We start from the raw sequence: 12,122 nt of genomic DNA, 5'->3' as shown, positions 1-12,122 counted from the left end.
TATGTTGCACACAACACAAAAATAATTCTTTAAATATAAAGGTAGGCACAGGTTTACAGTAAAAGGGTAAAAGTGTGTGTGTGTGTGTCTACACATGTTGCATATTTTTCTTCATATCTTTCATATCTACACACACACACCATGAAAATATCAAGAATAAGAACACTGGTAAGACTATAGTGATATCGGACAAAGCAGACTTAAAGACAAACATGACTAGAGACAAAGAGGGACATTTCAGGATGATAAAAGGGTCAATTTATCAATAAGTCGTAACAATATCAAACATGCATATACCTATTAACAAAGCTTCAAAAACCATAAAGCAATGTTACAAAGGGAGTCTAAGACAAATCCAAACTTATCAATGAAGACTCTTCTCTCAATTACTGACAGAATATACACAAATACACACAAAGATATAAAAGATATGAAGAAAAATATCAAACAATTTGATCTACATTGATAGCTGGAGACCACTACGCCAAACAAACACAAAATACAATTCTTATCAAGCACACATAAAACATTCACAAAGACACATTAGATGCTAGGCCATAAAACAAGTCTCGATTTTAAAGGACTAAAATCACGTTCTGTGACCAAACTGCTACTAAACTAGAACTCAATAAGACATCTAGAAAATCCTCAAATATTTTGAAATTATGTAACAAAATTCTAATGACAGGTTAAAGAAGAAATCACAAGTTAGAAACATTTCAGAATGACTGTTAAAACATATAAAAAGTGGCCGGGTGTGGTGGCTCATGCCTGTAACCCCAGCACTTTGGGAGGACAAGGCAGGTGGGTCACGAGGTTAAGAGATCAAGACCATCCTGGTCATATGGTGAAACCCCGTCTCTACTAAAAATACAAAAATTAGCTGGGTGTGGTGGTGGGTGCCTGTAGTCCCAGCTACTTGGGAGGTTGAGGCAGGAGAGTTGCTTGACCCTGGGAGGCGGAAGTTGCAGTGAGCCGAGATCACACCACTGCACTCCAGCCTGGCAACAGAGCGAGACTCCGTCTTAAAAAAAAAAAAAAAAAAAAAAACCAACAACAACAAAAAAAACATATAAAAAGCTGCAGAATGCAGCTAAAGCAGTGCTTGGAGGGAAATTTATACCATTAAATTCTATAGTAGCAAAGAGGCTTAAAAATTAATGATCTAGTTTCCACCTTTAAGAAGCTGGAAAAGGAGTAAATTCAACCCAAGTAAATGGACATAATGAAGAGCAAAAAACAGAATAGAAACTAGATCAAGAATAGAAAAAGAAAAGAAAAAAAAAAGAAATCAACAAAGTCAAAAGCTGGTTGTCTGCAAAGATTAATAAACTTGATCAACCCTGAGGCAAGACTACTTGCGGAAAAAACAGAAAGTACAAATGGCCAATATCAGGAATAAAAGAGAGACTATCACTACAGATTCTCTAGATATTAAAAAAAAATTATAGTAAAATATTATTGATAAGTTTACGCCAACAAATTCAACAATTTAGATGAGAAAGAAAAGTTTCTTGAAAGATACAACTTACCAAAACTAACTTAAAAAAAATTTGGATAACCATATTTTCATCAAAAAACATAAATTATAATTAAATAACCTTCTAACAAAAAATGTCGCAGGTTCTGAAGGTTTCATCAATGACCTCTACTAAACATCACAAAAGAAATAATGCCAACCAATCATATACAAATTTTTTCAGAAAATCAAGAAAAAATATTTCCTAATAGTTTCACAAGTCCAGCACAATCCTAAAATCAAACCCCAATGATGGTTTTATTAATAAAATGTTATGCAAATATCCATTAATGACATAGAAACAAAATTCCTTACCAAGAGATTAGCAAATTGAACTGAGCAATATATATAAGGGAATAGTATATCAAGGCCAAGTGTAGGTTATCACAGGGTGGGGCTTAACATTCAAAAAATTAATGCATTTTACCACAAAACAGGAGAAAAATCATATGATGATCTCTATACGTGCAGAAAAAACATGACAATATTCAAAACCCACTCATGATATTAAAAAAGCAAAAAAGACATACAGTTGAAAAAACAAAACTGTCTTCATTCATGGAGCATTAAGACTGTTTAAGTACAAAGCCCTATCAAATTTCAACAACAAAAATACAGTCATCCCTCAGTATACGCAGGGGGTTGGTTCCAGGACCCCCCCAAATATGCTGAAATCCACACATACTCAAGCTCCACAAGGAGGCCATGCGGAACCCACATATGTGAAAAGTTGGCCCTCATACACAGGTTTCACATCCAGGGAATACTGTATTTTTGATCCACATTTGACTGCAGATGTGGAACCTTCAGATACAGAGGGCTGACTCTATTTGTCAGAAAAAAATGTGCATACAAGTGGACCTGTGCAGTTCAAACCTGTATTGTTCAAGGGTCAACTGTACTAGAATAGGTGAATTTAGCAAGGTCTTAGGATACAAAATCAATATACAAAAATCAGTTGTATTTCTGTATACCAAAAATGAAAAATTATGAAATTATACATTTTAAATGCCATTTAAAATAGCATCTAAAAAATTAAAAACTAAGGAATAAAGTGAACAAAATATGTAAGACTTCTGCATTAAAAACTATAAAACACTGCTGAGAGATTTTAAGCCCTAAATAAATGGAGAGATAACCCATCTTTACAGAGTGGAAGACTTAATATTGTTAAGATGTCCATTTTCCTGAATGCAATCCCAACTGCAACCCAAATCAAAATGCTAGCACCATTTTTTTGGTAGAAATTTACAAGCTGATTCTAAAAATCCATATGTGAAAAGAAAGGACCTAGAATAGAAAACATATCAACAGGGTAAAGTAATTGCTTTCAGCAAATGCTGCTGTAACTACTAGGTAAGCATATGGAAGAAAATGAACTTCAACCCCTTCACCCTGTTCCACGCTCAAAAATTAATTCAAGATGGACCACAGAATCCTAACTGTAAAAGCAGACTAAAAAATAAAAATAAAAAACTTTTAGAAGAAAACACAGAATATCTTCACAAACTTGGAGATGGCAAAGATTTTTCAGGATAAAAAAAGTACCAAACAAAAAAAGTTGACAAATACAACTTCATCAATATTAAAACTCCCTATTCATCAAAAGATACCATATTAAGAAAGGAAAAGGCAAAGCCACAGTCTAGGGAAATACACTGACATACATGTGACAAAAAACTTAATGACAAAGGACTACTCAATTATTAAACAACCCAGTAACACAAGCAAAAGATGGGAAAGACCTGTGACAAAGAATATGTATGAAAGGCTAATAAGCATATGAAAAGGTGGTATTAGCCATGAAGAAATGCAAATGCAAACCACTACATATCCACTACAGAATGGCTAAAACCCAACAGACAAACCATACAAAATGGTGAGGATGTCACGCAACTGGAACCCTCATACATCATGGGAATATAAAATAAAACAACTTTGGAGAACTGGTGTTTTCTTGTGAAGGTAAACACATACCCCATGACCTGGCAATTCTACTCTTAGACTGTGCTGTCAGAGAGATGAAAACATATGTATAAAAGACTGTTCCCTGCAGCCTTATTCATAATAGTCCCAAACTGGGAACAAACCAAATGACCACTGACAGGTGAATATAAATTATGGCATGTTCATTCAATGAAATATGTTGAAGCAATAAAAAAAAATTAATTCCTGAGACATACAATATTGATGATTTTCCAAAAACAATACATTTGCTGAGTGAAGAAAACCCAAAACTAAACAATAAATACTATAAGGCTCCAATTATACTAAGTTTGCCAATGAAAAAGCAAAGCTAGTCTTTGATGATAGAAATCAGAAAGTAGTGGGATAACAGAAAAGGTCACAAGAGGATTTGGAATGATAGAAATCTTTCATATTGGTTTAGATGGGGGACACTGCTGTACACAAAGGTGAAAACAAACTCAACACTTAAAATATGTATCTTATATAAACTGTACTTCAAAAAAAGCATCATTTATTGTCTTCTTCATTCTGCACCTCCACCAGGAAAAAAATATATAGTATTTATTTCATTATTGGAAAACCCTAATATGGGGCTTTTGAAATGTAAAATGAAAAATTAAAAGTAAAAATAAAATCAGTAAACAAACCACAAAGAGATAGCCAATGAAAGTATATGCACATCTATTTGTATCTCTAGTCAAAATTCTTAGTGTACCATTTGTAATGTAATTATTTGATTATGAATTTGACTTTTTGTTACAAAATTTATCTCTTAAAAGCAAAATAATTATTTCATATTTTTAAAAATTAAGTTGCTTAAGTCAATTGCTAAGTGCGACTAAAATAAATCTCATAAAAATCTAGTTAATTCACATGTATTAAATGTATGTTAAGATATCCACTTCCAATTTTAAAAGGGAAAAGACAATCTACTCATTTCTGAAATGCCCCCACCCCAAATAACTAAAAATAGTAATACCTATAGATCAATTTGAAAGAAATGATAGGTCACTGTGGTTTTTGTAAGGCAGAGATTTAGGAGATGGAATGGGATGTTTTATTGAGGAAAAAAAATAGCAGAAGCAAAATATAAATAAATCAATCTGAAATGGAGAAAGCAGCAGCCTGTATCACAGAGAGAGACAACATAAAAAAGATTTAATTTCCTCTCCATGCTAATTCAAACTGGTAGGAACGCCTTTAAATGCTGGTGAAGCTAGTAAGGATTCCCAGACTAAGTTTTTGGTTACATGGAAAATGGGCCACGATTAATGAGCTATGTGGGTAAAGAAAAAACAAGAGCCCAGGAGGTCTCGATGGCATTTTCCATCCTTTCCTTATGGGGAATAGGCATAATTTAGCAGCTGGAAACTGCACTGCCTATAGCTTTAGTGAATATGGCAGAACACAAGAACTTACAAATCAGTTTTGAAAGATACAACTACGTATGTGCTTTTAAATATTCTAAAGAAAATCATCTGATATTAAAAGTTATGACTCCATAGCTGTGTGGAGGTGAATTAAGGCGATCAACCATCATCTTCAGTTCACTGAAAATGACACCTGGTGGCAGCGTCCGCTAAAATACAAGGCAAAATAATAACTGAAACAAAAATAAACTCTTAAATGTTATAAAATGCAAAACTATGATCTCAAGGTGACTTCTGTATGTACATGTGTGTGTGGGGGTCATATTCAATCACATATTTATACATTACATTCATTCAATACTAGGACCAAAGTAAATTACAAAACATGATTATTTACAGATCTATAAAACAAAAGTAAAAAATCAAGATGCAAAATTGGCATCATTTACTCTATTAAACTGACATAGTTTAGGTATCTTTTAAAAAGTCCTCAGATAAAAGAAAATTACTAAAACAAACCAAATGTTTTAAAAACCTCACTTTAAAAGATTTTGGAGATGTGAAATTTTTGCTATCCAAGTCAATGAGCTAGGAATCTGAAGTCTATCAAAGGACCATCTAGTCAGTTAATATCCTTGGAAAAAAATCACATACTACTTAAGCCAAAAATCATCTTCTGACATAATTTACCAACTGAACTTAAAAAAAAAAAATCATTTACTCCAATTGTGACTTCTGTTCACAGCTGCAGTATTAACTGTGACCTCATTACATGCCCAAGCTGTGAGAAACAAAGATCAAATTTATTAATTCTACTGTTGAAACCAAGTATGGTGATGTGATCAGCTGCCTCAAAATGCAGGCATACAGTTTTTAATATGAAGTTTTAAAGATAACTCTGACCATTAATCAAACACTGGTCCATACCTGATAGTTCAGGTCAAACTATACTCAACTTCTGAACAAAATATCTATGTAAGGTATCAATAAAATCGTTAACTGAAACACACTGATTTCAAGTAAATGCAAAATGAGCTATAAAAAGACAGGTATGATAAAGAAATTTAATAAAGGCTCAAAACAGATATATCCTTATTTTACCCGTTTTCCATCTTTGGTCTTCTTTAAGTTCCAAGTGCCATCTGGCAACTTCTCAAAGAACTTTCTTGCTTTTGGTGCTTGGTCAAGAATATGAGCAGGTGGAATACCCAGAACTTCCACTATTTTATTCATCTGATCTACCTGTATTAAAAATAAAAACAACAAAACCTGTAATTTCTACTGTACATCTACTCCTGCTCATCAAGTCATTCATTCATAAATAAATTGCACACCTCCTGTGTGTCTGGCACTCCTCTAGACATCCAGCATACAGTAATGAACAAACACAAGAAAGGCCCTACCTTCCTTGAGTCAAATACCCCACAGAAGGGAAGACAGTCAATTAACAAACATATTATGTCAGGTAGCCATGGATACAATGTTGAACAGTAAGGAAAGATGAGAGGAAGTTTTAAAGTTTCTGTTTTGGGAGAATTTTATTAAAAAAATTTTTTTTATTTACTTATTTTTGAGACAGGGTCTCTGTCACCCAGGCTGGAGTACAGTGGTGCACTCAGAGCTCACTGCAGCCTTGACCTCCTCCCAGGCTCAAGTGATCCTCTCACCTCAGCTTCCTGAGTAGCTGGGACTACAGGCATGTACCACCATGCCCGGCTATTTGTTTTTTAGATGGAGTCTCGCTCTGTCACCCAAGCTGAAGTGCGGTGGCGCAATCTCGGCTCACTGCAACCTCCACCTCCCAGGTTCAGGCAATTCTCCTGCCTCAGCCTCCTGAGTAACTGGGACTACAGGCATATTTTTCAGTAGAGACAGGGTTTCACCATGTTGGTCAGACTGGTCTTAAACTCTTGACCTCAAATGATCTGTCCACCTTGGCCTCCCAAAGTGCTGGGATTACAGGTGTGAGCCACCGTGCCCGGCCCCATGCCCAGCTAATTTTTAAAAGTTTTTGTGGAGATGGGGTTTTACCATGTTGCCTATGCTAGTCTCAAACTCCTGGGATAAAGCAATCCTCCCACCTTGACCTCCCAAAGTGCTGGGATTACAGGCGTGAGGTACGGCACCCAACCCAGTTTTCAGAGCATGTTAAATAACCACACACACACACACACACACACACACACACACACACACACACACACACAAAATCCCAGAGGCTTAATAAAGTATGGACCTAATAAAGTACTTTTTTAAGTACTTTAAATGAGTGTGCCTATTATATGCTAGGAACCATATTCAGTGGTAGAAAATAATAAACAAAACATAAAAATTCCTGCCAAAAAGAAGTTTATGTTATAGTGGGAAGACAGCAAATACATATACACACAAACACACAATTTTTTTTTTTTTTTAATGGAGTCTTGTTCTGTCTCCCAAGCTAGAGGGCAGTGGCGTGATCTCGGCTCACTGCAAGCTCTGCCTCCTGGGTTCAAGCCATTCTCCTGCCTCAGCCTCCCAAGTAACTGGGATTACAGGCACGCAACACCACACTAGGCTAATTTTTCTATTTTTAGTAGAGACGGGGTTTCACCATATTGGCAGGGCCAGTCTCGAACTCCTGACCTCAAGTGATCTGCCTGCTTCAGCCTCCCAAAGTGCTGCGACTACAGGTGTGAGCCACTGCGCCCGGCATTATCAATAAATAATTAAATACATGATGTCAGATGCTGGCTAAGAACTATGGGATGAGGAGAAGGGGTACTGCAACCGTAAGTGGGGTATATGGTTTCACCGAGAATGTGACATCAGAGCAAACACTAACATCAGCAAAGGAGTATCTCAGAAAAGAGCATTTTAGGCACAGGAAGGAAGAAATACAAAGGGCTATGGGCCTGTAGCTGGCGTTTTCAAGGGACCACAGAGTGAGGGGAGAAGGAGAGACCAGGTGGTGGTGAGAGAACTGGCATCAGAGGAAGTAGGAATCTGTGGGTTACTCAAAGGACCTCGGCCTTTACAATGAGTAACATGGCAAAGTTTTTTTAATATTGTTTAAGCCCAAGAAAGATACTAATTTACACAGTAAGATTTATACTAAAAAAAAAAACAAACTATGACAGTTACTATAAAAGAGTAGCTCACCAGTTCAAGTTGAAATGAATTAAAAGGGGCTGGGCACAGTGGCTCACGCCTGTAATCTCAGCACTTTGGGAGGCTGAGACGGGCAGACCACTTGAGGTCAGGAGTTCGAGAGCAGCCTGGCCAACATGGTGAAACATCAACTCTAGTAAAAATCCAAATATTAGCCAGGCATAGTGGCGCTTGCCTGTAATTCCAGCTACTCGGGAGCCAAGATTGCCCCACTATACTCCAGCCTGAGTGACAGAGCAAGACTCCATCTCCGGGAAAAAAAAAAAAAAAAAAAAAGAAGAATTAAAAGGAAGGATGGAAGAAACAAGTTTCTGACACCACCTATTAACAGCTGTGTAATCCGGTACAAGTCATTAATGCCTTTGGCCTTTCTCTTCTCATTTATAAATAGACTGATCAAGACGTGCAAATTGTCAATTTTTCTTTTAAAAAACAAACAAAACCCCACAGGTGTAGTTTTTAAAACAATGAAAGTCTAATTTCTCTGACTGCAGGGAAGTTAAGGCCTGTCCCTGCCCTCCCATTCACTGCCTCTGACCTTGAAAAATCTTCCAGAACACAGACTGAAAACCTGTAGACTTCAGAACTGCACACAGTCTCTGTAGCCCTACAAGTCTATAATCTCGTTTACTCTACATTATTCAGACTGAGTATCCATCAGTCCTACTGATCATTACTCTTCAACTCCAAATCATAATCTCAAAATTTAGAGTGATGTTTGTATCACTCTTCAGGATGGCCTTCATTCTTTATCATCTTTAAGCTTTCTGTATTGTATTTAAAACCTGTAAAATGTATGCCAAAATACTTAACACTTTCTAACTGTTCTCCTTCATGAGTAGATTAAAATATCCTACTCCTATCTCATAATTCTAAACTTACATGACAACTGACAAATATGAAAAATAGGTATATTCAAACTGACCTCACATTTGAATGATTAAGTAGACATCTTTGCCTAAAAACAACTTTTAAATTACACTGTCACAGATGAAAGACAAAAAGAAATTATGAAAACAGAATTTGTAAAGCAATACATCATTTACCTCATTGGCACCACTGAACAGAGGTTCTCCAGTGTGCATTTCAACCAAAATACACCCGAGGGACCACATATCAATGGCAAGGTCATAAGGCATTCCCAGTAGCACCTCTGGAGACCGATAAAAGCGACTCTGAATATACTGGTATATCTGAAATATATTTCAAAATAGTATTACTTCAATTGCTTAAAACTGCAGTCAGCATTGGATTAAAAACATTGATCTGATATTAACAGAAAAGAATTGGCTAATTCCTGAATTAGGGTTCCATTGATTAACTTCAACATTAGACTACGAATACGGCTTAAAGAACTAAACATTTTGAGGGATTGGTTAATCTGACTGTGAAATGCATAATACGTAAAGATTCAAGCCCTTTCATTTAGTCTAATCCTACCTAGTCATCATGATATTTCTTAAAACAATTATGCCTCACTAGGAAAAAAAAAACACTATTGAAAGCAATGTATTTCCCTAATAATTATTTCTTCCTACTATGGCTGGCACTTAGTTTACCACTAACTTTACAACTAAATAGTATTTAAATTAACCCAAACAATGTATTTCTCAGCGTTAAAAGTCAAGTAACTTCAATATAATATAATTTAAAATTCAGATATTTGTACTCTTGCTGTCTCACAGATAAATCCCAGAAACACTGCCACATAAAGATTCAATTGAGAGCTGTCTCTGACCAATAGCTTCTTCTCTCATCTTCTCTCTCTACCTCCATCCAAGACTTCTTATAGAAAGACAATCCTGAAATGGACTATTTTCAATGAAGTAATGTTAGGATGTCTTCAGAGACCAATTTGTTTCACTTATTAAAAGTGGAAAAGAAATAAAATCCTAACTAAATTTCCTAACACCCAAACCATGCAGCCAGAAAGCTCATGAAATTTTCTGTGGTTCCCACTGAAACCTCCAGCCAAGTCTTCGAGAACAATCTCAGGCCTCCACAGGTAGGTCAACCAACCTTAAGGAACTATGAGAAGAAAGTCTAATTTAAAAGAACTGGGAAGAAGTATTACATTTCCATGGTTTTTATAAGCCAATACCATTGTTAACTCCCTAGGCCCAAACACTCACCACTCCTGAGACTTTTATTTCACAGCTTATGCCAAGAACTTTGTCACCTCCCTATCTAATTTGTTTAAAGCAGTTGCTTTCCCCAAAACACACTTGCCCTACCACCTTCTGATTCTAATCCAACAGATCTAGGGGCAGGACCACTGCAGGTCTATTTTAGAAATAACTTCCCATGTGATGCCAATGAACTTGAATAGTTAAAAACTTATTGTAGGGATAACTGGCTCATTTTGGCTAGACAGAAATAATAATGTTTAATATTAGGACAAAATACATAATTTGGCTTAAATAGGGGGAAATTTTCCCAACTCTATAATCTATTCAAATTACTGTCAAGATGGGCATGTATTTTTCATTCACAATATACTCTACCACATATTAACTACGAGCATCTCTTGATTTTTTGAAGGCATCTAAAACTGCAAACTTTGCTCCCTACTCCAATTTTTAAAAATTACTTTAACATTTGATAGCCTCACTACCATGAGAAGTTGCAGAAAATAACAAAAAGACAGTCCTATTAATTGGCTATAAATCCTTATGATTAAATTAATCTGTTATAGTTAAAACCTGGACAAAAGTAGGACGGGACAGAAAATTTCACTAATTTGGAAAAATAAGAAACAGAAAAGTCAGTAAGAAAAATTAACATCTGTATGTTAGCCGGGTTTCTTTAAAACAGAAGAAATATAGTTTCAATACTTAAAGCAAAAAGAATAGTGCTTAAAATGAGTAAAATATTATCAAATGGTGACACTAATTCCTTTCAAGAGGAGACCCCTATCACTTCTATTTTATACATAAAACAATGCTGTTAGAGTAGTTTTCATAATGCTGGAAGAATGACAGGAAAAAACTGCTTTCCTAAATCAGCTAAACTTATCAGCACTACGAACACATCTGTTTTTAGCAGTCTGAAAAAAACCAGCTTGGATATGTGTCAGAATTTATGTAAATTTTAAATAAGAGTGGGGAAAATAAGACAAACTTATTTATCAAAACAAGTAAGTCTATCAACTGAATTTTCTATACTTATACCATGACTAATGCAAAATTACCTGCATTTTTTTGAACCATCAGTTTTTGAGAAAAAAGATTTATCTTGATCCATCTTCAGAGAAGTATTTTACAGCAAAGATTCAATGTTCTAGTACTGGAAAGTCCCAAAATTTATACTAAAACCTTTACTTGGGAAATATAGTTACAAATCCCCTAATATTTAATCATTCCATCTCCTATTCTCTCCCTTAATCTTTTAGCATACATACAATTTTAAATATACCCATTTCAAAAAAATCAATGTCTTTTGACTCAAAGTATTGCTATTTGCATTTTAAAAGGTATTTCCCCAAAATAGATATCAACACAAGGTAATTAAGTGCTACATTTTAAAGATAAATAAGCATCCTGTAATTGCCTCTAAATGGTATACACCTTATTAACATTTCAAATATCTATTAGGTTGGCGCAAAAGTAATTGCGGTTTTTGCCACTGCAAAAACAGCAACTGCAATGGCGAAAACCGCAATTACTTTTGCGCCAACCTAATACCTACACTGTCCTACCTACTTCTATTTAATTTCTATTTAATTCACAAGTTCTGAAATAATACTTACCCTCTGCCCCAACTGACAAGAACTGCCAAAGTCAACTATCTTGATTGCACTGCGTTTGGGGTTACAAAGAAGGATATTTTCAGGTTTTAGATCACAGTGAATGATACTAAGTTCTGGAGTCGCAAGGAAAAGCAGTGCAGTGCACATCTGTTGCGCAAACTTTCGTGTTAGGTTCAAAGAGACCCCTCGGAAATTGGTGTTTCTCAGCAAGTCATAGAGGTTGTAGGACAGCATTTCAAAAACTAAACAGAGATGGTTTCGAAACATAAAGTGGCGTTTCAAATGCACTGAAAGAGAAAACAGTTTCATTTTAAATTATATATACCAATAAACTGAGAGTAACAAACACATGCACTCTCAAATGTTC

General features: G+C 35.4%; 1 protein-coding gene across 7 annotated transcripts in view; it reads right to left on the bottom strand.

Annotated features, from left to right (window-relative positions):
* The window catches only part of DYRK1A (dual specificity tyrosine phosphorylation regulated kinase 1A), a 160,786-nt gene that overhangs the window by 24,142 nt on the left and 124,522 nt on the right, over positions 1-12,122 (bottom strand). For all 7 annotated transcript variants that reach the window (NM_001396.5, NM_001347722.2, NM_001347721.2 and 4 more), the window contains 3 exons: positions 11,756-12,042; positions 9,054-9,200; positions 5,959-6,099 (listed from right to left, as the gene is read on the bottom strand). In NM_001396.5, the coding sequence (NP_001387.2) occupies positions 5,959-6,099; positions 9,054-9,200; positions 11,756-12,042 (575 nt within the window). The remainder of the gene's footprint in view (positions 1-5,958; positions 6,100-9,053; positions 9,201-11,755; positions 12,043-12,122) is intronic.

The sequence above is a fragment of the Homo sapiens genome, chromosome 21 (genome assembly GCF_000001405.40).
Source record: "Homo sapiens chromosome 21, GRCh38.p14 Primary Assembly".
NCBI classification, from domain to species: domain Eukaryota; kingdom Metazoa; phylum Chordata; class Mammalia; order Primates; family Hominidae; genus Homo; species Homo sapiens.
The sequence above is the reverse complement of the archived record's forward strand: the minus strand, read 5'-3'. Positions and strand labels throughout refer to the sequence as shown.